The following is a 27,748-nucleotide window of genomic DNA, read 5'->3' on the forward strand; positions in this document are numbered from 1 at the left end:
AGCAAACCAAGCCAGCCAGCCAGACAAGGCAGCCAAGCCAGCAGGCCAAGCGAGCCAAGCCAAGCCAGCCAAGCCAGCCAGTTAGCCAGCCAAGCCAGCCAAGCCAGCCAGCCAGCCAAGCCAGCCCAGCCAGCCAGCCAGCCAGCCGAGCCGGCCAAGCCAGACAGCGAGCCCAGCCAGCCCAGCCAGTCAGCCAGCCAAACCAGCCAGCCAGCCAAGCCAGCCAGCCACCCAGCCAAGCCAGCCACCCAGCAAAGCCAGCCAAGAGACCCAAGCCAGCCAGCAAAGCTGGCCAAACCAGCCAAGCCAGTCAGCCAAGCCAGCCAAGCCGGCCACCCAGCCAAGCCAGACAAGCCAGCCAACCAGCCAGACAGCCCAGCCAGACAGCCAGCCCAGGCAGCCAAGAGACCCAAGCCAGCCAGCGAAGCTGGCCAACCCAGCCAAGCCAGTCAGCCAAGTCAGCCAAGCCGGCCACCCAGCCAAGCCAGCCAAGCCAGCCAAGCCAGTCAGCCAGCCAGCCAGCCAAGCCAGCCAAGCCAGTCAGCCAGCCAGCCAGCCAAGCCAGCCAAGCCTCCCAGCCAGCCAAACCAGCCAAGCCACCCAGCCAGCCAAGCCAGCCAAGCCACCTAGCCAGCCAGGCCCGCCAGCCAGCCAGCCAGCGAGCCAAGCCAGCCAAGCCAGCCAGCCTGCCAAGCCAGCCGGCCAGCCAAGCTAGCCAATCCACTCAGCCACTCAAGCCAGCCAAGTCACCCGGCCATCCAAGCCAGCCAAGCCAGTCAGCCAGCCCAGACAGCCAAGCCAGCCAAGCCAGCCAAGCCCGCCAACCAGCCAAGACAGGCATGCTAGCCAAGCCAGCCAGGCAGCGAAGCCAGCCAAGCCAGCCAGCAAGCAAAGCCAGGCATGTCAGCCAAGCCAGCCAGGCAGCCAAGCCAGCAAAGCCAGCCAAGCCAGCCAGCCAGCCAAGCCAGGCATGCCAGCCAAGCCATCCAGCCAGCTAAGCCAGCCGGCTAGCCAAGCCAGCCAAGCCACCCGGCCAGCCAAGCCAGCCAGCCAAGCCAGCCAAGCCTGCCAAGCCAGCCAACCAGCCAAGCCAGCCAGCTAGCCAAGCCACCCAGTCAGCCAGCTAGCCAAACCAGCCAAGCCACCCAGCCAGCCAAGCCACCCAGCCAGCCAAGCCAGCCAAGCCACCCGGCCATCCAAGCCAGCCAAGCCAGTCAGCCCAGACAGCCAAGCCAGCCAAGCCAGCCAAGCCCGCCAACCAGCCAAGACAGGCATGCTAGCCAAGCCAGCCAGGCAGCGAAGCCAGCCAAGCCAGCCAGCAAGGAAAGCCAGGCATGTCAGCCAAGCCAGCCAGGCAGCCAAGCCAGCCAAGCCAGCCAAGCCAGCCAGCCAGCCAAGCCAGGCATGCCAGCCAAGCCATCCAGCCAGCTAAGCCAGCCGGCTAGCCAAGCCAGCCAAGCCACCCGGCCAGCCAAGCCAGCCAGCCAAGCCTGCCAAGCCAGCCAACCAGCCAAGCCAGCCAGCTAGCCAAGCCACCCAGTCAGCCAGCTAGCCAAACCAGCCAAGCCACCCAGCCAGCCAAGCCACCCAGCCAGCCAAGCCAGCCAAGCCACCCGGCCATCCAAGCCAGCCAAGCCAGTCAGCCAGCCCAGACAGCCAAGCCAGCCAAGCCAGCCAAGCCCGCCAACCAGCCAAGACAGGCATGCTAGCCAAGCCAGCCGGGCAGCCAAGCCAGCCAGGCAGCGAAGCCAGCCAAGCCAGCCAGCAAGCAAAGCCAGGCATGCCAGCCAAGCCAGCCAACCAGCCAAGCCAGCCAGCTAGCCAAGCCACCCAGCCAGCCAGCCAGCCAAACCAGCCAAGCCACCCAGCCAGCCAAGCCACCCAGCCAGCCAAGCCAGCCAAGCCAATCAGCCAGCCAGGCAGCCAGCCACCCAGCCAGCCAAGCCAGCCAAGCCAGCCAAGCCAATCAGCCAGCCAGGCAGCCAGCCACCCAGCCAGCCAAGCCAGCCAAGCCACCTAGCCAGCCAGGCCCGCCAGCCAGCCAGCCAGGCAGCCAAGCCAGCCAAGCCAGTGAAGCCCGCCAGCCAGCCAAGACAGGCATGCCAGCCAAGCCAGCCAGGCAGCCAAGCCAGCCAAGCCAGCCAGCCAGCCAAGCCAGGCATGCCAGCCAAGCCATCCAGCCAGCTAAGCCAGCCGGCTAGCCAAGCCAGCCAAGCCACCCGGCCAGCCAAGCCAGCCAGCCAAGCCAGCCAAGCCAGCCAACCAGCCAAGCCAGCCAGCTAGCCAAGCCACCCAGCCAGCCAGCCAGCCAAACCAGCCAAGCCACCCAGCCAGCCAAGCCACCCAGCCAGCCAAGCCAGCCAAGCCAATCAGCCAGCCAGGCAGCCAGCCACCCAAGCCAGCCAAGCCAGCCAAGCCAGCCAAGCCACCTAGCCAGCCAGGCCCGCCAGCCAGCCAGCCAGGCCCGCCAGCCAGCCAGCCAGGCAGCCAAGCCAGCCAAGCCAGTCAAGCCCGCCAGCCAGCCAAGACAGGCATGCCAGCCAAGCCAGCCAGGCAGCCAAGCCAGCCAAGCCAGCCAGCCAGCCAAGCCAGGCATGCCAGCCAAGCCATCCAGCTAGCTAAGCCCGCTGGCTAGCCAAGCCAGCCAAGCCACCCGGCCGGCCAAGCCAGCCAAGCCAGCCAACCAGCCAAGCCAGCCAGCTAGCCAAGCCACCCAGCCAGCCAGCCAGCCAAACCAGCCAAGCCACCCAGCCAGCCAAGCCACCCAGCCAGCCAAGCCAGCCAAGACAGCCAGGCAGCCAGCCACCCAAGCCAGCCAAGCCAGCCAAGCCGGCCAAACCAGCCAACCAGCCAAGCCAGCCAGCCATCCAAGCCAGCCAAGACAGCCAGCCAGCCAAGCCAGTCAAGCCAGCCATACAGCCAAGCCAGCCAAGCCAGGCAAGCCACCCAGCCAGCCAAGCCATCTAGCCATCAAGCCAGTCAGGCCAGCCAGCCAGCCTGCCAAGCCGGCCACCCACCAAGCCAGCCAGCCATCCACGCCAGCCAAGCCAGTTAGCCAGCCAGCCAAGCCACCCAGCCAGCCAAGCCAGCCAAGCCACACAGCCAGCCAAGCCACCCAGCCAGCCAAGACAGCCAAGCCACACAGCCAGCCAAGCCATCCAGCCAGCCAAGACAGCCAAGCCAGCCAAGCCATCCAGCCAGCCACGCAAGCCAAGCCAGCCAGCCAGCCAAGCAATCCGTGCCAGCCAAGCCATCCAGCCAGCCAAGCGAGGTGTCCGGCCAAGCCACCCCACCAGCCAAGCCAGCCAGCCAGCCAGCCAGCCAGCCAAGCCACCCAGCCAACTAAGCCAGCCAAACCACCCAGCCAGGCATGCCAGCCAAGCCACCCAGCCAGCCAAGCCTGTCAGCCAGCGAACCAGCCAAGCCAGCCATGCCAGCCAGCCAGCCAAGCCATACAAGCCAGCCAGCCAGCCATGCCAGGACGAGACTCCATCTCAAAAAAAATAAAAAAAAAACAGCCTGGCCAACATGATGAAACCCCGTCTCTACTAAATGTATAAAAAATTATCTAGGCGTGGTGGCACACGCCAGTAATCCCAGCTACTCGGGAGGCCCAGGCAGGAGGATCGCTTTAACCAGGGAGGTGGAGGTTGAAGCGAACCAAGATTGCACCACCTCATTCCAGCCTGGGCAACAGGGTGAGACTCAATCTCAGAAAAAGAAAAAAAAAAAGGCCAGCCTGGCCAACACGGTGAAACCCCATCTCTACTAAATATGAAAAGAAATTAGCTGGGCGTGGTGGCACATGAATGTAATCCCAGCTACTCGGGAGGCCCAGGCAGGAGGATAGCTTGAACCCTGGGGGTGGAGGCTACAGCGAGCCAAGATTGCACCACTGCACTCCAGCCTGGGCAACAGGGCGAGACTCCATCTCAGAAAAAATAAAATAAAATAGACCAGCCTGGCCAACAGGGTGAAACCCCATCTCTACAAAATATACAGAAAAATTAGCTGGGGGTGGTGGCACACACCTGTAATCCCAGCTACTCGGGAGGCCCAGGAAGGAGGATCGCTTGAATCAGGGAGGTGGAGGCTGCAGCGAGCCAAGATTGCACCACTGCACTCCAGCCTGGGCAACAGAGTGAGACTCCATCTGAAAAAACAGAAGCATTCCAGCCTGGCCAATAGAGCGAGACTCCATCTCAAAAAAAAAAAAAAAAAAAAAAAAAACACCAGCCTGGCCAACATGGTGAAACCCCGTCTCTTCTAAATATACAAAAAAAATAGGGCCAGGCGTGGTGGCTCATGCCTGTAATCCCAGCACCTTGGGAGGCCGAGGTGGGTGGATCACGAGGTCATGAGATCGAGACCAGCCTGACCAACATGGTGAAACCCCGTCTCTACTAAAAATAGAAAAATTAGCTGGATGTGGTGGCACATGCCTGTAATCCCTGCTACTCCGGAGGCTGAGGCAGGAGAATTGCTTGAACCTAGGAAGCGGAGGTTGCAGTGAGCCGAGATGGCGCCACTGTACTCCACGGTGGTGTCAGAGTGATACTACATCTCAAAAAAAAAAAAAATAGCTGGGTTTGATGGCACACACCTGTAATACCAGGTACTCGGGAGGCCCAGGCAGGATGATCACTTGAACCCGGGAGGGGGTGGTTGCCGTGAACCAAGATTGTACCACTGCACTCCAGCCTGGGCAACAGGGCGAGACTCCATCTCAGGAAAAAAAAAAAAAAAAGACCAGCCTGGCCAACATGGTGAAACCCCGTCTCTACTAAATATAAAAAAAATTACCTGGATGTGGTGGCACATGCCTGTGATCCCAGCTGCTCGGGAGGCCCAGGAAGGAGGATCGCTTGAACCTGGGAGGTGGAGGCTGCAGCGAGCCAAGATTGCACCACTGCACTCCACCCTGGATAACAGAATTAGACTCTATATGAAAAAAAAGAAGAACTCCAGCCAGGGCAATAGAGTGAGACTCCATCTCAAAAAAAAAAAAAAAAAAAAAAAAAGACCAGCCTGGCCAACATGGTGAAACCCCGTCTCTACTAAATACACAAAAAAATTAGCTGTGCGTGGTGGCACACGCCTGTAATCCCAGCTACTCGGGAGGCCTAGGCAGGAGGATCGCTTGAACCCGGGAGGTGGAGGTTGCAGCGAACCAAGATTGCACCACTGCACTCCAGCCTGGGCAACAGAGCGAGACTCCATCTCAGGAAAAAAAAAAAATATCAGCCTGGCTAACATGGTGAAACCCCGTCTCTACTAAATATACAAAAAAAATTAGCTGGGCGTGGTGGCACACGCCTGTAATCCCAGCTACCCGGGAGGCCCAGGCAAGAAGATCTCTTGAACCCAGAAGGTATATGCTGCAGCGAGCCAAGATTGTCCCACCGCACTTCCGCCTGGGCAACAGAGCGAGACTCCGTCTCAGAAAAAAAAAAAAAAAAAAAAAACAAGAACAGGTTGGCCAACATGGTAAAACCATGTCTCTACTAAATATACAAAAAAATTAGTTAGGCATGGTGGCACACGCCTGTAATCCCAGCTACTCGGAAGGCCCAGGCAGGAGGATCGCTTGAACCCGGGAGGTGGAGGCTGCAGCAAACCAAGATTACACCACTGCACTCCAGCCTGGGCAACAGGGCGAGACTCCATCTCAGAAAAAAAAAAAAAGACCAGCCTGGCCAACATGGTGACACCCCGTCTCTAGTAAATATATAAAAAAATTAGCTGGGCATGGTGGCACACGGCTGTAATCCCAGCTACTCGGGAGCCCCAGGCAGTAGGATCGCTTGAACCTGGGAGGTGGAGGCTGCAGCGAGCCAAGATAGCACCACTGAACTCCAGCCTGGGCAACAGGGTGAGACTCCATCTCAGAAAAGAGAGAAAAAAATTAAAAAAAGACCAGCTTGGCCGACATGGTGAAACCTCATCTCTACTAAAAATACAAAAGTATTAGCTGGCCGTGGTGGCACACGCCTGTAATCCCAGCTACTCGGGAGGCCCAGGAAGGAGGATTGCTTGAACCTGGGAGTTTGAGGCTGCAGCGAGCCAAAATTGCACCACTGCACTCCACCCGAGTGAGACTCCATCTGAAAAAAAGAACTCCAGCCACGGCAATATAGCGAGACTCAACCTCAAAAAAAAAAAAAAAAAAAAAAAAAACACCAGCCTGGCCAATATGGTGAACCCCGTGTCTACTAAATATACAAAAAAATTAGCTGGGTGTCACGGCACACGCCTGTAATACCAGCTACTTGGTAGGCACAGGCAGGAGGATCGCTTGAACCCGGGAGGTAGAGGCTGCAGTGAGCCAAGATTGCACCACTGCACTCCAGCCTGGGCAACAGGGTGAGACTCCATCTCAGAAAAAAAAAAAAAACAAAAAGAGCAGCCTGGCCAACATGGTGAAACCCCGTCAATACTAAATATACAAAGAAATTAGCTGTGCATGGTGGCACACGAATGTAATCCCACATACTCGGGATGCCCAGGAAGGAGGATCGCTTAAACCCGGGAGGTGGAGGCTGCAGCGAGCCAAGATTGCACCACTGCACTCGAGCCAGGGCAACAGGGCCAGACTCCATCTCAAAAAAAAAAAAAAAGACCAGCCTGGGCAACATGGTGAAACCCCATCTCTACTAAATATACAAAAAAATTGCTGGGCGTATTGCTACACACCTGTAATCCCCGCTACTTGGGAGGCCCAGACAAGAGGATCACTTGATCCCGGGAGGTGGAGGCTGCAGCGAGCCAAGATTGTACCACAGCACTTCAGCCTGGGCAACAGAGCGACACTCCATCTCAGAAAAAAAAAAAAAAAAAAAAAAGAACAGGTTGGCCAACATGGTGAAACCCCATCTCTACTAAATATACAAAATAATTAGCTGGGCGTGGTGACACACACCTGTAATCCCAGGCAGGAGGATTGCTTGAACCTGGGAGGTGGAGGCTGCAGCCAGCCAGGATTGCACCACTGCACTCCACCCTGGGCAAAATGTGAGACTCCATCTGAAAAAAAAGAAGCATTCCAGCCCGGGCAATATAGCGAGACTCCAACTCGAAAAAAAAAAAGACCAGCTGGCCGACATGGTGAAACCCCATCTCTACTAAATATACAAAAATATTAGCTGGGCGTGGTGGCACATGCCTGTAATCCCAGCTACTCGGGAGGCCCAGGAAGGAGGATCGCTTGAACCCGGGAGGTAGAGGCTGCAGCGGAGCCAAGATTGCACCACTGCGCTCCATCCTGGGCAACAGAGTGAGACTCTATATGAAAAAAAAGCACTCCAGCCTGGGCAATAGAGCGAGACTCCATCTCAGAAAAAAAAAAAAAAAGAAAGACCAGCCTTGCCAACATGGTGAAACCCCGTCTCTACTAAATATACAAAAAAATTAGCTGGGCGTCATGGCACACGCCTGTAATCCCAGCTACTCGGTAGGCCCAGGCTGGAGGAATGCTTGAACCCGGGAGGTGGAGGTTGCAGCAAACCAAGATTGCACCTCTGAACGCCTGCCTGAGCAACAGGGTGAGATTCAATCTCAGAAAAAAAAAAAAAAAAAAAAAAAAGAGCAGCCTGGCCAACATGGTGAAAACCCATCAATACTAAATATACAAAGAAATTAGCTGAGCATGGTGGCACACGAATATAATCCCAGCTACTCGGGAGGCCCAGGTAGGAGGATCCCTTGAACCCGGGAGGTGGAGGCTGCAGCGAGCCAAGATTGCACCACTGCACTCCAGCCTGGGCAACAGGGCGAGACTCCATCTCAAAACAACAACAACAACAACAACAACAACAACAAAAAACAGCCTGCCCAACATGGTGAAACCCCGTCTCTACTAAATATACAAAGAAATTAGCTGGGCGTCATGGCACACGAATGTAATCCCAGCTACTCGGGAGTCCCAGACAGGAGGATCGCTTGAACCTGGGAGTTGGAGGCTACAGCGAGCCAAGATTGCACCACTGCACTCTGCTCTGGGTAACAGAGTAAGAGTCCATCTGAAAAAAAAGAAGCACTCCAGCCTGGGCAACAGAGAGAGACTCCATCTCAGAAAAAAAAAAAAAAAAAAAAAAAAAAAAAAGACCAGGTTGGCCAACATGGTGAAATCCCGTCTCTACTAAATATACAAAAAAAATTAGCTGGACGTGGTGGCACAGGCTTCTAATCCCAGCTACTGGGGAGGCCCAGGCAGGAGGATCACTTGAACCTGGGAGGTGGAGGCTGCAGCGAGCCAAGATTGCACCACTGCACTCTGGCCTGGGCAACAGAGTGAGAGTCCATCTGAAAAAAAAGAAGCACTCCAGTCTGGTCAACAGAGCGAGACTCCATCTCAGAAAAAAAAAAAAAAAAAAAAAAGACCAGGTTGGCCGACATGGTGAAACCCCGTCTCTACTAAATACACAAAAAAATTAGCTGGGCGTGGTGGCACATGCCTGTAATCCCAGCTACTCGAGAGGCCCAGGCAGGAGGATCGCTTGAACCTGGGAGGTGGAGGCTGCAGCGAGCCAAGACTGCACCACTGCACTCCGGCCTGTGCAACAAAGTGAGACTCCATCTGAAAAAAAAAGAAACACTCCAGCCTGGGCAATATAGCAAGACTCCATCTCAAAAAAAAAAAAAAAAAGGAAAAAAGAGCAGCCTGTCCGACATGGTGAAACCACGTCTCTACTAAATATGCAAAAAAATTAGCTGGGCGTGGTGGCACACGCCTGTAATCCCAGCTACTCGGGAGGCCCAGGCAGGAGGATCGCTTGAACCCGGGAGGTGGAGGTTGCAGCGAACCAAGATTGCACCACTGCACTCCAGCCTGGGCAAGAAAGTGAGATTCCATCTGAAAAAAAAGCACTCCAGCCTGGGCAATATAGCAAGACTCCATCTCAAAAAAAAAAAAAAAAAAAGACCAGCCTGTCCAACATGGTGAAACCCCATCAGTACTAAATATACAAAGAAATTAGCTGAGCGTGGTGGCACACGATTGTAATCCCAGCTACTCGGGAGGCCCAGGCAGGAGGATCGCTTGAACTCGGGAGGTAGAGGCTGCAGCCAGCCAAGATTGCACCACTGCACTGAACCCTGGACAACAGAGTGACACTCCATCTGAAAAAAAAGAAGAACTCCAACCAGGGCAATGGAGCGAGACTCCATCTCAGAAAAAAGAAAAAAAAAGAGCACCTTGGCCAACATGGTGAAACCCCGTCAGTACTAAATACACAAAGAAATTAGCTGAGCATGGTAGCACACGAATGTAATCCCAGCTACTCGGGAGGCCCAGGCAGGAGGATCGCTTGAACCCGGGAGGTGGAGGTTGCAGCGAACAAAGATTGCACCACTGCACTCCAGCCTGGGCAACAGAGCGAGACTCCCACTCAGAAAAAAAAACAAAATGAAAAAAAACACCAGCCTGGCCAACATGGTGAAACAACGTCTCCACTAAATATACAAAAAAAATAGATGGGCGTGGTGGCACTCATCTCTAATCCCAGCTACTCGGGAGGCCAACGCAGGAGGATCACTTGAACACAGGAGGTGGAGGCTGCAGCTAGCCAAGTTTGCACCATTGCACTCCAGCCTGGCAAACCAAGCCAGCCAAGCCAACCAGCCAAGCCAGTCAAGCGACCCAGCCAGCCAGCCAGCCAGCTAAGCCACCCAACCAGCCAGCCTGCCAAGCCAGCCAAGCCAGCCAGCCAGCCAGCCGGCCAGGCAGCCAAGCCAAGCCAGCCAAGCCAGCTAGCCAGCCAAGTCAGCCAAGCCAGCTAGCCAGCCAAGTCAGCCAGCCAAACCAGCCAAGCCACCCAGCCAGCCAAGCCACCCAAGACACCCAGCCAGCCAGCCAGCCAAGCCAGCCAAGCCACCCAGCCAGCCAAGCCAGCCAAGCAAGCCAGCCAAGCCAGCCAAGCCAGCCAAGCCAGGAGCCAGCCAAGCCAGCCAAGCCAGCCAAGCCTGCCAAGCCTGCCAAGCCAGCCAGCCAGCCAAGCCTGCAAAGCCAGCCAGCCAGCAAAGCCAGCCAAGTCAGCCTGCCAAGCCAGCCAAGACAACCAGCAAGCCAAGCCAGCCAAGCCAGCCAAGGCAGCCAAGCCAGTCAGCCAGCCAAGCTAGCCAAGCCAGGCAGCCATCCAAGCCAGCCAGCCATCCAAGCCAATGAAGCCAGCCAGCCAGCCAAGACACACAAGCCAGCCAACTCAGCCAGCTAGCCAAGCAAGCCAAGCCAGCCAGCCAGTCAAGCCAGCCAAGCCAGCCAGCCAACCAGGCCAGCTAAACCAGCCAGCCTGCCAAGCCAGCCAAGCCAGCCAGCCAGCCAGGCCAGCCAGCCAAACAAGGCACCGCAGCCAGCCCAGCCAGCCACACAAGCCAGCCAAGTCAGCCAGCCAGCCAAGCCAGCCAAGCCAGCCCGCCAAGGCAGCCATGCCAGCCAGCCAGCCAAGCCAGCCAAGCCAGCCAAGCCAGCCAGCCACCCAGCCAGCCAAGCCAGGCAGCCACCCAGCAAGCCAGGCCAGCCTGCCACCCAGCCAGCCAAGCCAGACAAGCCAGCCAAGCCAGCCAGCCACGCAGCCAGCCAGGACATCCAGCCACCCAGCCAGCCAAGCCATGCAAGCCAACAAGCCAGCCCAGACAGCCAAGCCAGCCAAGCAAGCCAGCAAGCCAGCCAGCCAAGCCAGCCAGCCAAACCAGCCAAGCCACCCAGCCAGCCAAGCCACCCAAGACAGCCAGCCAGCCAGCCAGCCAAGCCAGCCAACTAGCCAAGCCAGCCAAGCAAGCCACCAGCCAAGCCAGCCAAGCCTGCCAGCCAGCAGAGCCAGCCAACCAGCCAAGCCAGCCAGCCAGCCACTTAAGCCATCCAAGCAACCCAGCCAGCCAAGCCAGCCAAGCCACCGACCCAGCCAAGCCAGCCAAGCCACCCAGCCAGCCAAGCCAGCCAAGCCAGCCAAACCAGCCTGCCAGCCAAGCCAGCCAAGCCATCCAGCCAGCCAAGCCAGCCGGCCAGCCAAGCTAGCCAATCCACTCACCCACTCAAACTAGCCAAGTCACCCGGCCAGCCAAGCCTGCCAAGCCAGCTAGCCAGCCCAGACAGCCAAGCCAGCCAGCCAGCCAAGCCAGCCAAGCCAGCCAGCCAGCCAATCTAGCCAAGCCAGCCAAGCCAGCCAAGCCAGCCAGCCAGCCAAGCCAGCCAAGCCAGCCAGCCAGCCAAGCCAGCCGGCCAGCCAAGCTAGCCAATCCACTAAGCCACTCAAACCAGCCAAGTCACCCGGCCAGCCAAGCCAGCCAAGCCAGCCAGCCAGCAAAGCCAGCCCAGCCAGCCAGCCAGCCAGCCAGCCGAGCCGCCAAGCCAGACAGCGAGCCCAGCCAGCCCAGCCAGTCAGCCAGCCAAACCAGCCAGCCAGCCAAGCCAGCCAGCCACCCAGCCAAGCCAGCCACCCAGCAAAGCCAGCCAAGAGACCCAAGCCAGCCAGCAAAGCTGGCCAAACCAGCCAAGCCAGTCAGCCAAGCCAGCCAAGCTGGCCACCCAGCCAAGCCAGACAAGCCAGCCAACCAGCCAGACAGCCCAGCCAGACAGCCAGCCCAGGCAGCCAAGAGACCCAAGCCAGCCAGCGAAGCTGGCCAACCCAGCCAAGCCAGTCAGCCAAACCAGCCAAGCCGGCCACCCAGCCAAGCCAGCCAAGCCAGCGAACCAGCCAGACAGCCCTGCCAGACAGCCAGCCCAGGCAGCCAAACCAGACAAGCCAGCCAGCCAAGCCAGCCAAGCCAGCCAGCCAGCCAAGACAGGCCAGCCAAGCAAGCCATGGAAGCCAGACAGCCAGCCAGCCAAGCTAGCCAACCCAGCCAGCCAAGCTAGCCAACCCAGCCAGCCAAGCCAGCCAAGCCAGCCAAGCCAGTCAGCCAGAAAAGCCAGCCAAGCCTGCCAGCCAGTCAAGCCAGCCAAGCCAGCCAGCCAGCCAAGCCAGCGAAGACACCCAGCCAGCCAAGCAAGCCAAGCCACCCAGCCAGCCAAGCCTGCCAAGAGACCCAGCAACCCAAGCCAGCCAAGACACCCAGCCAGCCAAGCTAGCCAAGACACCCAGCCAGCGAAGCCAGCCAGCCAGCCAGCCAAGCCTGCCAAGCCACCCAGCCAGCCAAGCCAGGCAAACAACCCAGCCAGCCAAGCCAGTCAAGCCACCCAGCCAGCCAAGCCAGCCAAGCCACCCAGCCAGCCAAGCCGGCCAAGCCACTCAGCCAGCCAAGCCAGCCAGCCAGCCAAGCCGGCCAAGCCACTCAGCCAGCCAAGATGGCCAAGCCACCCAGTCAAGCCAGCTAAGCCAGCCAGGCAGCCAAGCCAGCCAAGCCAGCCAAGACCTCCAGCCAGCCAAGAAAGGCATGCCAGCCAAGCCAGCCAGGGAGCCAAGCCAGCCAGCAAGCAAAGCCAGGCATGCCAGCCAAGCCAGCCAGGGAGCCAAGCCAGCCAGCAAGCAAAGCCAGGCATGCCAGCCAAGCCAGCCAGGCAGCCAAGCCAGCCAAGCCAGCCAGCCAGCCAAGCCAGGCATGCCAGCCAAGCCATCCAGCCAGCTAACCCAGCCAGCAAGCAAAGCCAGGCATGCCAGCCAAGCCAGCCAGCCAGCCAAGCCAGCCAAGCCAGCCAGCCAGCCCAGCCAGTCAGCCAGCCAAACCAGCCAGCCAGCCAAGCCAGCCAGCCACCCAGCCAAGCCAGCCACCCAGCAAAGCCAACCAAGAGACCCAAGCCAGCCAGCAAAGCTGGCCAAACCAGCCAAGCCAGTCAGCCAAGCCAGCCAAGCCGGCCACCCAGCCAAGCCAGACAAGCCAGCCAACCAGCCAGACAGCCCTAGCCAACCCAGCCAGCCAAGCCAGCCAAGCCAGCCAAGCCAGTCAGCCAGAAAAGCCAGCCAAGCCTGCCAGCCAGTCAAGCCAGCCAAGCCAGCCAGCCAGCCAAGCCAGCGAAGACACCCAGCCAGCCAAGCAAGCCAAGCCACCCAGCCAGCCAAGCCTGCCAAGAGACCCAGCAACCCAAGCCAGCCAAGACACCCAGCCAGCCAAGCTAGCCAAGACACCCAGCCAGCGAAGCCAGCCAGCCAGCCAGCCAAGCCTGCCAAGCCACCCAGCCAGCCAAGCCAGGCAAACAACCCAGCCAGCCAAGCCAGTCAAGCCACCCAGCCAGCCAAGCCAGCCAAGCCACCCAGCCAGCCAAGCCGGCCAAGCCACTCAGCCAGCCAAGCCAGCCAGCCAGCCAAGCCGGCCAAGCCACTCAGCCAGCCAAGATGGCCAAGCCACCCAGTCAAGCCAGCTAAGCCAGCCAGGCAGCCAAGCCAGCCAAGCCAGCCAAGACCTCCAGCCAGCCAAGAAAGGCATGCCAGCCAAGCCAGCCAGGGAGCCAAGCCAGCCAGCAAGCAAAGCCAGGCATGCCAGCCAAGCCAGCCAGGCAGCCAAGCCAGCCAAGCCAGCCAGCCAGCCAAGCCAGGCATGCCAGCCAAGCCATCCAGCCAGCTAAGCCAGCCAGCAAGCAAAGCCAGGCATGCCAGCCAAGCCAGCCAGCCAGCCAAGCCAGCCAAGCCAGCCAGCCAGCCCAGCCAGTCAGCCAGCCAAACCAGCCAGCCAGCCAAGCCAGCCAGCCACCCAGCCAAGCCAGCCACCCAGCAAAGCCAACCAAGAGCCCCAAGCCAGCCAGCAAAGCTGGCCAAACCAGCCAAGCCAGTCAGCCAAGCCAGCCAAGCCGGCCACCCATCCAAGCCAGACAAGCCAGCAAACCAGCCAGACAGCCCAGCCAGACAGCCAGCCCAGGCAGCCAAGAGACCCAAGCCAGCCAGCGAAGCTGGCCAACCCAGCCAAGCCAGTCAGCCAAGCCAGCCAAGCCGGCCACCCAGCCAAGCCAGCCAAGCCAGCGAACCAGCCAGACAGCCCTGCCAGACAGCCAGCCCAGGCAGCCAAACCAGACAAGCCAGCCAGCCAAGCCAGCCAAGCCAGCCAGCCAGCCAAGACAGCCAAGCCAGTCAAGCCAGGCAAGCCAGCGAGCCAGCCAAGCCAGCCAACCCAGCCAGCCAAGCCAGCCAAGACAGCCAGCCAGCCAAGCCGGCCAAGCCAGCCAGCCAAGCAAGCCATGGAAGCCAGACAGCCAGCCAGCCAAGCCAGTCAAGCCAGCCAGCCAGCCAAACCAGCCAAGCCAGCCAACCCAGCCAGCCAAGCCAGCCAAGCCAGCCAAGCCAGTCAGCCAGAAAAGCCAGCCAAGCCTGCCAGCCAGTCAAGCCAGCCAAGCCAGCCAGCCAGCCAAGCCGGCCAAGCCACTCAGCCAGCCAAGATGGCCAAGCCACCCAGCCAGCCAAGCCTGCCAAGAGACCCAGCAACCCAAGCCAGCCAAGACACCCAGCCAGCCAAGCTAGCCAAGACACCCAGCCAGCGAAGCCAGCCAGCCAGCCAGCCAGCCAAGCCAGCCAAGCCACCCAGCCAGCCAAGCCAGGCAAACAACCCAGCCAGCCAAGCCAGTCAAGCCACCCAGCCAGCCAAGCCGGCCAAGCCACCCAGCCAGCCAAGCTGGCCAAGTCACTCAGCCAGCCAAGCCAGCCAGCCAGCCAAGCCGGCCAAGCCACTCAGCCAGCCAAGATGGCCAAGCCACCCAGTCAAGCCAACTAAGCCAGCCAAGCCACCCAGCCAGCCAAGCTGGCCAAGCCACTCAGCCAGCCAAGCCAGCCAGCCAGCCAAGCCGGCCAAGCCACTCAGCCAGCCAAGATGGCCAAGCCACGCAGTCAAGCCAGCCAAGCCAGCCAGGCAGCCAAGCCAGCCAAGACCTCCAGCCAGCCAAGAAAGGCATGCCAGCCAAGCCAGCAAGGCAGCCAAACCAGCCAGCAAGCAAAGCCAGGCATGCCAGCCAAGCCAGCCAGGCAGCCAAGCCAGCCAAGCCAGCCAGCCAGCCAAGCCAGCGAAGACACCGAGCCAGCCAAGCAAGCCAAGCCACCCAGCCAGCCAAGCCTGCCAAGAGACCCAGCAACCCAAGCCAGCCAAGACACCCAGCCAGCCAAGCTAGCCACGACACCCAGCCAGCGAAGCCAGCCAGCCAGCCAGCCAGCCAAGCCTGCCAAGCCACCCAGCCAGCCAAGCCAGGCAAACAACCCAGCCAGCCAAGCCAGTCAAGCCACCCAGCCAGCCAAGCCAGCCAAGCCAGCCAAGCCACCCAGCCAGCCAAGCTGGCAAGCCACTCAGCCAGCCAAGCCAGCCAGCCAGCCAAGCCGGCCAAGCCACTCAGCCAGCCAAGATGGCCAAGCCACCCAGTCAAGCCAGCTAAGCCAGCCAAGCCACCCAGCCAGCCAAGCCAGCCAAGCCACTCAGCCAGCCAAGCCAGCCAGCCAGCCAAGCCGGCCAAGCCACTCAGCCAACCAAGATGGCCAAGCCACGCAGTCAAGCCAGCCAAGCCAGCCAGGCAGCCAAGCCAGCCAAGACCTCCAGCCAGCCAAGAAAGGCATGCCAGCCAAGCCAGCAAGGCAGCCAAACCAGCCAGCAAGCAAAGCCAGGCATGCCAGCCAAGCCAGCCAGGCAGCCAAGCCAGCCAAGCCAGCCAGCCAGCCAAGCCAGCGAAGACACCGAGCCAGCCAAGCAAGCCAAGCCACCCAGCCAGCCAAGCCTGCCAAGAGACCCAGCAACCCAAGCCAGCCAAGACACCCAGCCAGCCAAGCTAGCCACGACACCCAGCCAGCGAGAGGCAGCTAGGCAGCTAGCCAAGCCTGCCCAGCCAGCTCGAGCCAGCTAAGCCAGGCCAAGCAAGCTAGCCATCCAAGCTTGACAAGCCAGCCAAGCATGCCAGCCAAGCCAGCGCAGCTGGAGCCAGCCAAGCCAGCCAAGCCAGCCAAGCCTGCCAAGCCAGCCAGCCAGCCAAGCCTGCAAAGCCAGCCAGCCAGCAAAGCCAGCCAAGTCAGCCTGCCAAGCCAGCCAAGACAACCAGCAAGCCAAGCCAGCCAAGCCAGCCAAGGCAGCCAAGCCAGTCAGCCAGCCAAGCTAGCCAAGCCAGGCAGCCATCCAAGCCAGCCAGCCATCCAAGCCAATGAAGCCAGCCAGCCAGCCAAGACACACAAGCCAGCCAACTCAGCCAGCTAGCCAAGCCAGCCAAGCCAGCCAGCCAGTCAAGCCAGCCAAGCCAGCCAGCCAACCAGGCCAGCTAAACCAGCCAGCCAGCCAGGCCAGCCAGCCAACCCAGCCACCGCAGCCAGCCCAGCCAGCCACACAAGCCAGCCAAGTCAGCCAGCCAGCCAAGCCAGCCAAGTCAGCCAAGCCAGCCAGCCAGCCAAGCCAGCCAAGCCAGCCAAGCCACTCAGCCAGCCAAGCCAGCCAGCCAGCCAAGCCGGCCAAGCCACTCAGCCAGCCAAGATGGCCAAGCCACCCAGTCAAGCCAGCTAAGCCAGCCAGGCAGCCAAGCCAGCCAAGCCAGCCAAGACCTCCAGCCAGCCAAGAAAGGCATGCCAGCCAAGCCAGCCAGGGAGCCAAGCCAGCCAGCAAGCAAAGCCAGGCATGCCAGCCAAGCCAGCCAGCCAGCCAAGCCGGCCAAGCCAGCCAGCCAGCCAAGCCAGCCAAGCCAGCCAGCCAGCCAAGCCAGCCAAGCAAGCCAGCAAGCCAGCCAGCCAAGCCAGCCAGCCAAACCAGCCAAGCCAGCCAGCCAGCCAAGCGCTTTACCCGAACGTCCGTGAGGCAGTGAGAGCCAAAGCAGCCTGCCAGCCAAGCCAGCCAAGCCATCCAGCCAGCCAAGCCAGCCAGCCAGCCAAGCTAGCCAATCCACTCACCCACTCAAACTAGCCAAGTCACCCGGCCAGCCAAGCCTGCCAAGCCAGCTAGCCAGCCCAGACAGCCAAGCCAGCCAGCCAGCCAAGCCAGCCAAGCCAGCCAGCCAGCCAAGCCAGCCGGCCAGCCAAGCTAGCCAATCCACTAAGCCACTCAAACCAGCCAAGTCACCCGGCCAGCCAAGCCAGCCAAGCCAGCCAGCCAGCAAAGCCAGCCCAGCCAGCCAGCCAGCCAGCCAGCCGAGCCGGCCAAGCCAGACAGCGAGCCCAGCCAGCCCAGCCAGTCAGCCAGCCAAACCAGCCAGCCAGCCAAGCCAGCCAGCCACCCAGCCAAGCCAGCCACCCAGCAAAGCCAGCCAAGAGACCCAAGCCAGCCAGCAAAGCTGGCCAAACCCGCCAAGCCAGTCAGCCAAGCCAGCCAAGCCGGCCACCCAGCCAAGCCAGCCAAGCCAGCCAACCAGCCAGACAGCCCAGCCAGACAGCCAGCCCAGGCAGCCAAGAGACCCAAGCCAGCCAGCGAAGCTGGCCAACCCAGCCAAGCCAGTCAGCCAAGCCAGCCAAGCCGGCCACCCAGCCAAGCCAGCCAAGCCAGCGAACCAGCCAGACAGCCCTGCCAGACAGCCAGCCCAGGCAGCCAAAACAGACAAGCCAGCCAGCCAAGCCAGCCAAGCCAGCCAGCCAGCCAAGACAGCCAAGCCAGTCAAGCCAGGCAAGCCAGCGAGCCAGCCAAGCCAGCCAACCCAGCCAGCCAAGCCAGCCAAGACAGCCAGCCAGCCAAGCCGGCCAAGCCAGCCAGCCAAGCAAGCCATGGAAGCCAGACAGCCAGCCAGCCAAGCCAGCCAACCCAGCCAGCCAAGCCAGCCAAGCCAGCCAAGCCAGTCAGCCAGAAAAGCCAGCCAAGCCTGCCAGCCAGTCAAGCCAGCCAAGCCTGCCAGCCAGCCAAGCCAGCGAAGACACCCAGCCAGCCAAGCAAGCCAAGCCACCCAGCCAGCCAAGCCTGCCAAGAGACCCAGCAACCCAAGCCAGCCAAGACACCCAGCCAGCCAAGCTAGCCAAGACACCCAGCCAGCGAAGCCAGCCAGCCAGCCAGCCAAGCCTGCCAAGCCACCCAGCCAGCCAAGCCAGGCAAACAACCCAGCCAGCCAAGCCAGTCAAGCCACCCAGCCAGCCAAGCCGGCCAAGCCACCCAGCCAGCCAAGCCGGCCAAGCCACTCAGCCAGCCAAGCCAGCCAGCCAGCCAAGCCGGCCAAGCCACTCAGCCAGCCAAGATGGCCAAGCCACCCAGTCAAGCCAGCTAAGCCAGCCAGGCAGCCAAGCCAGCCAAGCCAGCCAAGACCTCCAGCCAGCCAAGAAAGGCATGCCAGCCAAGCCAGCCAGGGAGCCAAGCCAGCCAGCAAGCAAAGCCAGGCATGCCAGCCAAGCCAGCCTGCCAGCCAAGCCGGCCAAGCCAGCCAGCCAGCCAAGCCAGCCAAGCCAGCCAGCCAGCCAAGCCAGCCAAGCAAGCCAGCAAGCCAGCCAGCCAAGCCAGCCAGCCAAACCAGCCAAGCCAGCCAGCCAGCCAAGCCACCCAAGACACCCAGCCAGCCAGCCAGCCAAGCCAGCCAAGCCACCCAGCCAGCCAAGCCAGCCAAGCAAGCCAGGCAAGCCAGCCAAGCCAGCCAGCCAGCCAGCCACCCAGCCACCCAGCCAGCCAAGCCAGCCAGCCACCCAGCCGGCCAGGCCAGCCTGCCACCCAGCCAGCCAAGCCAGACAAGCCAGCCAAGCCAGCCAGCCAGCCAGCCAGCCAGCCAGCCAAGCCAGCCAAGCCTCCCAGCCAGCCAAGCCAGCCAAGCCACCCAGCCAGCCAAGCCAGCCAAGCCACCTAGCCAGCCAGGCCCACCAGCCAGCCAGCCAGGCAGCCAAGCCAGCCAAGCCAGTCAAGCCCGCCAGCCAGCCAAGACAGGCATGCCAGCCAAGCCAGCCAGGCAGCCAAGCCAGCCAAGCCAGCCAGGCCCGCCAGCCAGCCAAGACAGGCATGCCAGCCAAGCCAGCCAGGCAGCCAAGTCAGCCAAGCCAGGCAGCAAGCAAAGCCAGGCATGCCAGCCCAGCCAGCCAGGCAGCCAAGCCAGCAAAACCAGCCAGCCAGCCAAGCCAGGCATGCCAGCCAAGCCATCCAGCCAGCTAAGCCAGCCGGCTAGCCAAGCCAGACAAGCCACCCGGCCATCCAAGCCAGCCAGCCAAGCCGGCCAAGCCAGCCAACCAGCAAAGCCAGTCAGCTAGCCAAGCCAGCCAACCAGCCAGCCAGCTAAGCTGGCCAGCCTGCCAGCCAACCAAGCCGGCCAGACAGCCAAGGCAGCCAAGCCGGCCAGGCAGCCAAGCCAGCCAAGCCACCGACCCAGCCAAGCCAGCCAAGCCACCCAAGCCACCCAGCCAGCCCAGACAGCCAAGCCAGGCAGCCAGCCAAGCCAGCCAGCCAGCAAAGCCAGGCAGCCAGCCAAGCCAGTCAAGCCAGACAGCCAGCCAAGCCAGCCAGCCAGCCAAGCGAGCCAAGCCAGCCAGCCAGCCAGGCCAGCCAGCCACCCAGCCAGCCAAGCCAGCCAGCCACCCAACCAGCCAGGCCAGCCTGCCACCCAGCCAGCCAAGCCAGACAAGCCTGCGAAGCCAGTCAGCCACCCAGCCAGCCAGGCCAGCCAGCCACCCAGTCAGCCAAGCCATCCAAGCCAGCCGGCCAGCACAGACAGCCAAGCCAGCCACCCAGTCAGCCAAGCCATCCAAGAGAGCCAGCCAGCCCAGACAGCCAAGCCAGCCAGCCAGCCAAGCCAGCCAAGCAAGCCAGCAAGCCAGCCAGCCAAGCCAGCCAGCCAAACCAGCCAAGCCACCCAGCCAGCCAAGCCACCCAAGACACCCAGCCAGCCAGCCAGCCAGCCAAGCCAGCCAAGCCACCCAGCCAGCCAAGCCAGCCAAGCAAGCCAGCCAAGCCAGCGCAGCCAGGAGCCAGCCAAGCCAGCCAAGCCAGCCAAGCCTGCCAAGCCAGCCAGCCAGCCAAGCCTGCAAAGCCAGCCAGCCAGCAAAGCCAGCCAAGTCAGCCTGCCAAGCCAGCCAAGACAACCAGCAAGCCAAGCCAGCCAAGCCAGCCAAGGCAGCCAAGCCAGTCAGCCAGCCAAGCTAGCCAAGCCAGGCAGCCATCCAAGCCAGCCAGCCATCCAAGCCAATGAAGCCAGCCAGCCAGCCAAGACACCCAAGCCAGCCAACTCAGCCAGCCAGCCAAGCCAGCCAAGCCAGTCAGCCAGCCAAGCCAGCCAAGCCAGCCAAGCCAGTCAAGCCAGTCAGCCAGCCAAGCCAGCCAAGCCAGCCAGCCAGCCCAGACAGCCAAGCCAGCCAGCCAGCCAAGCCAGCCAAGCAAGCCAGCAAGCCAGCCAGCCAAGCCAGCCAGCCAAACCAGCCAAGCCACCCAGCCAGCCAAGCCACCCAAGACACCCAGCCAGCCAGCCAGCCAAGCCAGCCAAGCCACCCAGCCAGCCAAGCCAGCCAAGCCAGCCAAGCCTGCCAAGCCAACCATCCAGCCAAGCCTGCAAAGCCAGCCCGCCAGCAAAGCCAGCCAAGTCAGCCTGCCAAGCCAGCCAAGACAGCCAGCAAGCCAAGCCAGCCAAGCCAGCCAGCCAAGCCAGCTAGCCAAGCCAGCCAAGGCAGCCAAGCCAGTCAGCCAGCCAAGCTAGCCAAGCCAGGCAGCCATCCAAGCCAGCCAGCCATCCAAGCCAATGAAGCCAGCCAGCCAGCCAAGCCACCCAAGCCAGCCAAGCCAGCCAGCCAAGCCAGCTAGCCAAGCCAGCCAAGGCAGCCAAGCCAGTCAGCCAGCCAAGCTAGCCAAGCCAGGCAGCCATCCAAGCCAGCCAGCCATCCAAGCCAATGAAGCCAGCCAGCCAGCCAAGCCACCCAAGCCAGCCAAGCCAGCCAACTCAGCCAGCCAGCCAAGCCAGCCAAGCCAGCCAGCCAGTCAAGCCAGCCAAGCCAGCCAGCTAACCAAGCCAGCTAAACCAGCCAAGCCTGCCAAGCCAGCCAAGCCAGCCAAGCCAGCCAGCCAGCCAGCCATCCCAGCCAGCCCAGCCAGCCAAGCCAGCCAGCCACCCAGCCGGCCAGGCCAGCCTGCCACCCAGCCAGCCAAGCCAGACAAGCCAGCCAAGCCAGCCAGCCAGCCAAGCCAGCCAAGCCTCCCAGCCAGCCAAGCCAGCCAAGCCACCCAGCCAGCCAAGCCAGCCAAGCCACCTAGCCAGCCAGGCCCACCAGCCAGCCAGCCAGGCAGCCAAGCCAGCCAAGCCAGTCAAGCCCGCCAGCCAGCCAAGACAGGCATGCCAGCCAAGCCAGCCAGGCAGCCAAGCCAGCCAAGCCAGCCAGGCCCGCCAGCCAGCCAAGCCAGGCATGCCAGCCAAGCCAGCCAGGCAGCCAAGCCAGCAAAACCAGCCAGCCAGCCAAGCCAGGCATGCCAGCCAAGCCATCCAGCCAGCTAAGCCAGCCGGCTAGCCAAGCCAGACAAGCCACCCGGCCATCCAAGCCAGCCAGCCAAGCCAGCCAAGCCAGCCAACCAGCAAAGCCAGTCAGCTAGCCAAGCCAGCCAACCAGCCAGCCAGCTAAGCTGGCCAGCCTGCCAGCCAACCAAGCCGGCCAGACAGCCAAGGCAGCCAAGCCGGCCAGGCAGCCAAGCCAGCCAAGCCACCGACCCAGCCAAGCCAGCCAAGCCACCCAGCCAGCCCAGACAGCCAAGCCAGGCAGCCAGCCAAGCCAGCCAGCCAGCAAAGCCAGGCAGCCAGCCAAGCCAGTCAAGCCAGACAGCCAGCCAAGCCAGCCAGCCAGCCAAGCGAGCCAAGCCAGCCAGCCAGCCAGGCCAGCCAGCCACCCAGCCAGCCACCCAGCCAGCCAGCCCAGCCAGCCAAGCCAGCCAGCCAGCCCAGCCAGCCCCGCCAGCCAGCCAACCCAGCCACCGCAGCCAGCCCAGCCAGCCACACAAGCCAGCCAAGTCAGCCAGCCAGCCAAGTCAGCCAAGCCAGCCCACCAAGGCAGCCATGCCAGCCAGCCAGCCAAGCCAGCCAAGCCAGTCAGCCAGCCAAGCCAGCCAAGCCAGCCAGCCAGCCAAGCCAGCCAAGCCAGCCAAGTCAACTGAGCCAGCCAAGCCAGTCAGCCAAGCCAGGCAAGCCAGCAAAGTCAGCCAGCCAGCCAAGCCAGCCAAGCCAGCCCAGCCAGCCCAGCCAGCTAAGCCAGCCCAGCCAGCCAGCCAAGCCATCCAAGCCAGCCAGCCAGCCAGCCAGCCCAGCCAGCCAAGCCAGCCCAGCCAGCCAACCAAGCCAGCCAGCCAGCCATGCCAGCCAAGCCAGCCAGCCATCCAAGCCAACCAAGCCAGCCAGCCAAGCCAGCCAAGCCAGCCAAGCCAGCCAAGCCACCCAGGCAGCCAAGCCAGCCAAGCCAGCCAAGCCAGCCAGGCAGCCAAGCCAGCCAAGCCAGCCAAGCCAGCCAGCCAAGCCAGCCAGCCAGCCAAGAGAGCCAAGCCAGCCATCCAGCCAGGCCATCCAGCCACCCAGCCAGCCAAGCCAGCCTGCCACCCAACCAGCCAGGCCATCCAGCCACCCAGCCAGCCAAGCCAGCCTGCCACCCAACCAGCCAGGCCAGCCTGCCACCCAGCCAGCCAAGCCAGACAAGCCTGCGAAGCCAGTCAGCCACCCAGCCAGCCAGGCCAGCCAGCCACCCAGTCAGCCAAGCCATCCAAGCCAGCCGGCCAGCACAGACAGCCAAGCCAGCCACCCAGTCAGCCAAGCCATCCAAGAGAGCCAGCCAGCCCAGACAGCCAAGCCAGCCAGCCAGCCAAGCCAGCCAAGCAAGCCAGCAAGCCAGCCAGCCAAGCCAGCCAGCCAAACCAGCCAAGCCACCCAGCCAGCCAAGCCACCCAAGACACCCAGCCAGCCAGCCAGCCAAGCCAGCCAAGCCACCCAGCCAGCCAAGCCAGCCAAGCAAGCCAGCCAAGCCAGCCAAGCCAGGAGCCAGCCCAGCCAGCCAAGCCAGCCAGCCACCCAGCCACCCAAGACAGCTAAACCAGCCAGCCTGCCAAGCCAGCCAAGCCAGCCAGCCAGCCAGGCCAGCCAAGCCAGCCAAGCCATTCAAGCCAGCCAGCCAGCCCAGCCAGCCAAGCCAGCCAGCCAGCCCAGCCAGCCCAGCCAGCCAGCCAACCCAGCCACCGCAGCCAGCCCAGCCAGCCACACAAGCCAGCCAAGTCAGCCAGCCAGCCAAGCCAGCCAAGCCAGCCCGCCAAGGCAGCCATGCCAGCCAGCCAGCCAAACCAGCCAAGCCACCCAGCCAGCCAAGCCACCCAAGACAGACAGCCAGCCAGCCAAGCCAGCCAACTAGCCAAGCCAGCCAAGCAAGCCACCAGCCAAGCCAGCCAAGCCTGCCAGCCAGCAGAGCCAGCCAACCAGCCAAGCCAGCCAGCCAGCCAAACCAGCCAAGCCAGCCAGCCAGCCACTTAAGCCATCCAAGCAACCCAGCCAGCCAAGCCAGCCAAGCCACCGACCCAGCCAAGTCAGCCAAGCCACCCAGCCAGCCAAGCCAGCCAAGCCAGCCAAACCAGCCTGCCAGCCAAGCCAGCCAAGCCATCCAGCCAGCCAAGCCAGCCAGCCAGCCAAGCTAGCCAATCCACTCACCCACTCAAACTAGCCAAGTCACCCGGCCAGCCAAGCCTGCCAAGCCAGCTAGCCAGCCCAGACAGCCAAGCCAGCCAGCCAGCCAAGCCAACCAAGCCAGCCAGCCAGCCAAGCCAGCCGGCCAGCCAAGCTAGCCAATTCACTAAGCCACTCAAACCAGCCAAGTCACCCGGCCAGCCAAGCCAGCCAAGCCAGCCAGCCAGCAAAGCCAGCCCAGCCAGCCAGCCAGCCAGCCAGCCGAGCCGGCCAAGCCAGACAGCGAGCCCAGCCAGCCCAGCCAGTCAGCCAGCCAAACCAGCCAGCCAGCCAAGCCAGCCAGCCACCCAGCCAAGCCAGCCACCCAGCAAAGCCAACCAAGAGACCCAAGCCAGCCAGCAAAGCTGGCCAAACCAGCCAAGCCAGTCAGCCAAGCCAGCCAAGCCGGCCACCCAGCCAAGCCAGCCAAGCCAGCCAACCAGCCAGACAGCCCAGCCAGACAGCCAGCCCAGGCAGCCAAGAGACCCAAGCCAGCCAGCGAAGCTGGCCAACCCAGCCAAGCCAGTCAGCCAAGCCAGCCAAGCCGGCCACCCAGCCAAGCCAGCCAAGCCAGCGAACCAGCCAGACAGCCCTGCCAGACAGCCAGCCCAGGCAGCCAAACCAGACAAGCCAGCCAGCCAAGTCAGCCAAGCCAGCCAGCCAGACAAGACAGCCAAGCCAGTCAAGCCAGGCAAGCCAGCGAGCCAGCCAAGCCAGCCAACCCAGCCAGCCAAGCCAGCCAAGACAGCCAGCCAGCCAAGCCGGCCAAGCCAGCCAGCCAAGCAAGCCATGGAAGCCAGACAGCCAGCCAGCCAAGCCAGTCAAGCCAGCCAGCCAGCCAAACCAGCCAAGCCAGCCAACCCAGCCAGCCAAGCCAGCCAAGCCAGCCAAGCCAGTCAGCCAGAAAAGCCAGCCAAGCCTGCCAGCCAGTCAAGCCAGCCAAGCCAGCCAGCCAGCCAAGCCAGCGAAGACACCCAGCCAGCCAAGCAAGCCAAGCCACCCAGCCAGCCAAGCCTGCCAAGAGACCCAGCAACCCAAGCCAGCCAAGACACCCAGCCAGCCAAGCTAGCCAAGACACCCAGCCAGCGAAGCCAGCCAGCCAGCCAGCCAGCCAAGCCTGCCAAGCCACCCAGCCAGCCAAGCCAGGCAAACAACCCAGCCAGCCAAGCCAGTCAAGCCACCCAGCCAGCCAAGCCAGCCAAGCCACCCAGCCAGCCAGCCGGCCAAGCCACTCAGCCAGCCAAGCCAGCCAGCCAGGCCAGCCGGGCAAGCCATTCAGCCAGGCAAGATGGCCAAGCCACCCAGTCAAGCCAGCTAAGCCAGCCAGGCAGCCAAGCCAGCCAAGCCAGCCAAGACCTCCAGCCAGCCAAGAAAGGCATGCCAGCCAAGCCAGCCAGGCAGCCAAGCCAGCCAGCAAGCAAAGCCAGGCATGCCAGCCAAGCCAGCCAGCCAGCCAAGCCAGCCAAGCCAGCCAGCCAGCCAAGCCAGGCATGCCAGCCAAGCCATCCAGCCAGCTAAGCCAGCCGGCTAGCCAAGCCAGACAAGCCACCCGGCCAGCCAAGCCAGCCAGCCAAGGCAGCCAAGCCAGCCAACCAGTCAAGCCAGTCAGCTAGCCAAGCCAGCCAACCAGCCAGCCAGTCAAGCCGGCCAGCCTGCCAGCCAACCAAGCTGGACAGACAGCCAAGGCAGCCAAGCCGGCCAGGCAGCCAAGCCAGCCAAGCCACTGACCCAGCCAAGCCACCCAGCCAGCCAAGACAGCCAAGCCAGCCAAACCAGCCTGCCAGCCAAGCCAGCCAAGCCATCCAGCCTGCCAAGCCAGCTGGCCAGCCAAGCTAGCCAATCCACTCACCCACTCAAGCCAGTCAAGTCACCTGGCCAGCCAAGCCAGCCAAGCCAGCCAGCCAGCCCAGAGAGCCAAGCCAGCCAGCCCAGACAGCCAAGCCAGCCAGCCAGCCAAGCCTGCCAAGCCACCCAGCCAGCCAAGCCAGGCAAACAACCCAGCCAGCCAAGCCAGTCAAGCCAACCAGCCAGCCAAGCCAGCCAAGCCACCCAGCCAGCCAAGCTGGCCAAGCCACTCAGCCAGCCAAGCCAGCCAGCCAGCCAAGCCGGCCAAGCCACTCAGCCAGCCAAGATGGCCAAGCCACCCAGTCAAGCCAGCTAAGCCAGCCAAGCCAGCCAAGACCTCCAGCCAGCCAAGAAAGGCATGCCAGCCAAGCCAGCCAGGCAGCCAAGCCAGCCAGCAAGCAAAGCCAGGCATGCCAGCCAAGCCAGCCAGGCAGCCAAGCCAGCCAAGCCAGCCAGCCAGCCAAGCCAGGCATGCCAGCCAAGCCATCCAGCCAGCTAAGTCAGCCGGCTAGCCCAGCCAGCCAAGCCACCCATCCAGCCAAGCCAGCCAGTCAAGCCAGCCAAGCCAGCCAACCAGTCAAGCCAGTCAGCTAGCCAAGCCAGCCAAGCCACCCGGCCAGCCAAGCCAGCCAGCCAACCCAGCCCAGCCAGCCAACCAGCCAAGACATTCAGCTAGCCAAGCCAGCCAACCAGCCAGCCAGTCAAGCCGGCCAGCCTGCCAGCCAACCAAGCCGGACAGACAGCCAAGGCAGCCAAGCCGGCCAGGCAGCCAAGCCAGCCAAGCCACCGACCCAGCCAAGCCACCCAGCCAGCCAAGACAGCCAAGCCAGCCAAACCAGCCTGCCAGCCAAGCCAGCCAAGCCATCCAGCCTGCCAAGCCAGCTGGCCAGCCAAGCTAGCCAATCCACTCACCCACTCAAGCCAGCCAAGTCACCCGGCCAGCCAAGCCAGCCAGCTCAGACAGCCAAGCCAGCCAGCCAAGCCAGCCAAGCCAGCCAGCCAGCCAAGCCGGCCAAGCCACTCAGCCAGCCAAGATGGCCAAGCCACGCAGTCAAGCCAGCCAAGCCAGCCAGGCAGCCAAGCCAGCCAAGACCTCCAGCCAGCCAAGAAAGGCATGCCAGCCAAGCCAGCTAGGCAGCCAAACCAGCCAGCAAGCAAAGCCAGGCATGCCAGCCAAGCCAGCCAGGCAGCCAAGCCAGCCAAGCCAGCCAGCCAGCCAAGCCAGCGAAGACACCGAGCCAGCCAAGCAAGCCAAGCCACCCAGCCAGCCAAGCCTGCCAAGAGACCCAGCAACCCAAGCAAGCAAAGACACCCAGCCAGCCAGGTTAGCAAAGACACCCAGCAGGGAGCCAGCCAGCAAGCCAGCGAGCCAAGCTGGGCAAGGCCACCAAGCGAGCCCGGCAGCTCAGTCAGTCACAGAGGCCAGCAGACCGTGGTCAAGCCACCCAGCCAGCTAAGCAGATCTACGCACAAGCTCTCCAAGCCACTCAGCCAGCTAAGCTAGCCAGCAGTCAAGCCGGCCAAGCCACTCAGCCAGCCACGGCGCCAAGCCACGCAGTCAAGCCAGCCAAGCTAGCCAGGCAGCCAAGGCAGCCAAGCCAGCCAAGACCTCCAGCCAGCCAAGAAAGGCATGCCAGCCAAGCCAGCCAGGGAGCCAAGCCAGCCAGCAAGCAAAGCCAGGCATGCCAGCCAAGCCAGCCAGGGAGCCAAGCCAGCCAGCAAGCAAAGCCAGGCATGCCAGCCAAGCCAGCCAGGCAGCCAAGCCAGCCAAGCCAGCCAGCCAGCCAAGCCAGGCATGCCAGCCAAGCCATCCAGCCAGCTAAGCCAGCCAGCAAGCAAAGCCAGGCATGCCAGCCAAGCCAGCCAGCCAGCCAAGCCAGCCAAGCCAGCCAGCCAGCCCAGCCAGTCAGCCAGCCAAACCAGCCAGCCAGCCAAGCCAGCCAGCCACCCAGCCAAGCCAGCCACCCAGCAAAGCCAACCAAGAGACCCAAGCCAGCCAGCAAAGCTGGCCAAACCAGCCAAGCCAGTCAGCCAAGCCAGCCAAGCCGGCCACCCAGCCAAGCCAGACAAGCCAGCCAACCAGCCAGACAGCCCTGCCAGACAGCCAGCCCAGGCAGCCAAACCAGACAAGCCAGCCAGCCAAGCCAGCCAAGCCAGCCAGCCAGCCAAGACAGCCAAGCCAGTCAAGCCAGGCAAGCCAGCGAGCCAGCCAAGCCAGCCAACCCAGCCAGCCAAGCCAGCCAAGACAGCCAGCCAGCCAAGCCGGCCAAGCCAGCCAGCCAAGCAAGCCATGGAAGCCAGACAGCCAGCCAGCCAAGCCAGTCAAGCCAGCCAGCCAGCCAAACCAGCCAAGCCAGCCAACCCAGCCAGCCAAGCCAGCCAAGCCAGCCAAGCCAGTCAGCCAGAAAAGCCAGCCAAGCCTGCCAGCCAGTCAAGCCAGCCAAGCCAGCCAGCCAGCCAAGC

General features: G+C 62.5%; 16 annotated features.

Annotated features, from left to right (window-relative positions):
- Positions 482 to 985: an enhancer, noted in NCBI's record as "OCT4-H3K27ac-H3K4me1 hESC enhancer chr2:87623699-87624202 (GRCh37/hg19 assembly coordinates)". NCBI's record gives its function as "activates a minimal SCP1, AML or CMV promoter by ChIP-STARR-seq in naive and primed H9 embryonic stem cells {active_cell/tissue: H9 hESC(naive and primed)}" and the evidence as "EXISTENCE:reporter gene assay evidence [ECO:0000049][PMID:30033119]".
- Positions 986 to 1,487: an enhancer, noted in NCBI's record as "H3K27ac-H3K4me1 hESC enhancer chr2:87624203-87624704 (GRCh37/hg19 assembly coordinates)". NCBI's record gives its function as "activates a minimal SCP1, AML or CMV promoter by ChIP-STARR-seq in naive and primed H9 embryonic stem cells {active_cell/tissue: H9 hESC(naive and primed)}" and the evidence as "EXISTENCE:reporter gene assay evidence [ECO:0000049][PMID:30033119]".
- Positions 10,066 to 10,572: an enhancer, noted in NCBI's record as "H3K27ac-H3K4me1 hESC enhancer chr2:87633283-87633789 (GRCh37/hg19 assembly coordinates)". NCBI's record gives its function as "activates a minimal SCP1, AML or CMV promoter by ChIP-STARR-seq in naive H9 embryonic stem cells {active_cell/tissue: H9 hESC(naive)}" and the evidence as "EXISTENCE:reporter gene assay evidence [ECO:0000049][PMID:30033119]".
- Positions 10,573 to 11,078: an enhancer, noted in NCBI's record as "H3K27ac-H3K4me1 hESC enhancer chr2:87633790-87634295 (GRCh37/hg19 assembly coordinates)". NCBI's record gives its function as "activates a minimal SCP1, AML or CMV promoter by ChIP-STARR-seq in naive H9 embryonic stem cells {active_cell/tissue: H9 hESC(naive)}" and the evidence as "EXISTENCE:reporter gene assay evidence [ECO:0000049][PMID:30033119]".
- Positions 18,086 to 18,627: an enhancer, noted in NCBI's record as "OCT4-H3K27ac-H3K4me1 hESC enhancer chr2:87641303-87641844 (GRCh37/hg19 assembly coordinates)". NCBI's record gives its function as "activates a minimal SCP1, AML or CMV promoter by ChIP-STARR-seq in naive H9 embryonic stem cells {active_cell/tissue: H9 hESC(naive)}" and the evidence as "EXISTENCE:reporter gene assay evidence [ECO:0000049][PMID:30033119]".
- Positions 18,628 to 19,168: an enhancer, noted in NCBI's record as "OCT4-H3K27ac-H3K4me1 hESC enhancer chr2:87641845-87642385 (GRCh37/hg19 assembly coordinates)". NCBI's record gives its function as "activates a minimal SCP1, AML or CMV promoter by ChIP-STARR-seq in naive and primed H9 embryonic stem cells {active_cell/tissue: H9 hESC(naive and primed)}" and the evidence as "EXISTENCE:reporter gene assay evidence [ECO:0000049][PMID:30033119]".
- Positions 19,260 to 19,902: an enhancer, noted in NCBI's record as "H3K27ac-H3K4me1 hESC enhancer chr2:87642477-87643119 (GRCh37/hg19 assembly coordinates)". NCBI's record gives its function as "activates a minimal SCP1, AML or CMV promoter by ChIP-STARR-seq in naive H9 embryonic stem cells {active_cell/tissue: H9 hESC(naive)}" and the evidence as "EXISTENCE:reporter gene assay evidence [ECO:0000049][PMID:30033119]".
- Positions 19,903 to 20,544: an enhancer, noted in NCBI's record as "H3K27ac-H3K4me1 hESC enhancer chr2:87643120-87643761 (GRCh37/hg19 assembly coordinates)". NCBI's record gives its function as "activates a minimal SCP1, AML or CMV promoter by ChIP-STARR-seq in naive H9 embryonic stem cells {active_cell/tissue: H9 hESC(naive)}" and the evidence as "EXISTENCE:reporter gene assay evidence [ECO:0000049][PMID:30033119]".
- Positions 20,152 to 20,446: a silencer, noted in NCBI's record as "tiled region #1379; HepG2 Repressive non-DNase unmatched - State 9:DNaseU, and K562 Repressive non-DNase unmatched - State 23:Low". NCBI's record gives its function as "represses a minimal TATA promoter and a strong SV40 promoter by Sharpr-MPRA in HepG2 and K562 cells {active_cell/tissue: HepG2 | K562}" and the evidence as "EXISTENCE:reporter gene assay evidence [ECO:0000049][PMID:27701403]".
- Positions 20,673 to 21,320: an enhancer, noted in NCBI's record as "H3K27ac-H3K4me1 hESC enhancer chr2:87643890-87644537 (GRCh37/hg19 assembly coordinates)". NCBI's record gives its function as "activates a minimal SCP1, AML or CMV promoter by ChIP-STARR-seq in naive and primed H9 embryonic stem cells {active_cell/tissue: H9 hESC(naive and primed)}" and the evidence as "EXISTENCE:reporter gene assay evidence [ECO:0000049][PMID:30033119]".
- Positions 21,321 to 21,967: an enhancer, noted in NCBI's record as "H3K27ac-H3K4me1 hESC enhancer chr2:87644538-87645184 (GRCh37/hg19 assembly coordinates)". NCBI's record gives its function as "activates a minimal SCP1, AML or CMV promoter by ChIP-STARR-seq in naive and primed H9 embryonic stem cells {active_cell/tissue: H9 hESC(naive and primed)}" and the evidence as "EXISTENCE:reporter gene assay evidence [ECO:0000049][PMID:30033119]".
- Positions 21,968 to 22,614: an enhancer, noted in NCBI's record as "H3K27ac-H3K4me1 hESC enhancer chr2:87645185-87645831 (GRCh37/hg19 assembly coordinates)". NCBI's record gives its function as "activates a minimal SCP1, AML or CMV promoter by ChIP-STARR-seq in naive and primed H9 embryonic stem cells {active_cell/tissue: H9 hESC(naive and primed)}" and the evidence as "EXISTENCE:reporter gene assay evidence [ECO:0000049][PMID:30033119]".
- Positions 22,615 to 23,260: an enhancer, noted in NCBI's record as "H3K27ac-H3K4me1 hESC enhancer chr2:87645832-87646477 (GRCh37/hg19 assembly coordinates)". NCBI's record gives its function as "activates a minimal SCP1, AML or CMV promoter by ChIP-STARR-seq in naive and primed H9 embryonic stem cells {active_cell/tissue: H9 hESC(naive and primed)}" and the evidence as "EXISTENCE:reporter gene assay evidence [ECO:0000049][PMID:30033119]".
- Positions 23,994 to 24,494: an enhancer, noted in NCBI's record as "H3K4me1 hESC enhancer chr2:87720936-87721436 (GRCh37/hg19 assembly coordinates)". NCBI's record gives its function as "activates a minimal SCP1, AML or CMV promoter by ChIP-STARR-seq in primed H9 embryonic stem cells {active_cell/tissue: H9 hESC(primed)}" and the evidence as "EXISTENCE:reporter gene assay evidence [ECO:0000049][PMID:30033119]".
- Positions 24,596 to 25,559: an enhancer, noted in NCBI's record as "H3K27ac-H3K4me1 hESC enhancer chr2:87647813-87648776 (GRCh37/hg19 assembly coordinates)". NCBI's record gives its function as "activates a minimal SCP1, AML or CMV promoter by ChIP-STARR-seq in primed H9 embryonic stem cells {active_cell/tissue: H9 hESC(primed)}" and the evidence as "EXISTENCE:reporter gene assay evidence [ECO:0000049][PMID:30033119]".
- Positions 25,560 to 26,522: an enhancer, noted in NCBI's record as "H3K27ac-H3K4me1 hESC enhancer chr2:87648777-87649739 (GRCh37/hg19 assembly coordinates)". NCBI's record gives its function as "activates a minimal SCP1, AML or CMV promoter by ChIP-STARR-seq in naive and primed H9 embryonic stem cells {active_cell/tissue: H9 hESC(naive and primed)}" and the evidence as "EXISTENCE:reporter gene assay evidence [ECO:0000049][PMID:30033119]".

Source organism: Homo sapiens, chromosome 2 (genome assembly GCF_000001405.40).
Source record: "Homo sapiens chromosome 2, GRCh38.p14 Primary Assembly".
NCBI classification, from domain to species: domain Eukaryota; kingdom Metazoa; phylum Chordata; class Mammalia; order Primates; family Hominidae; genus Homo; species Homo sapiens.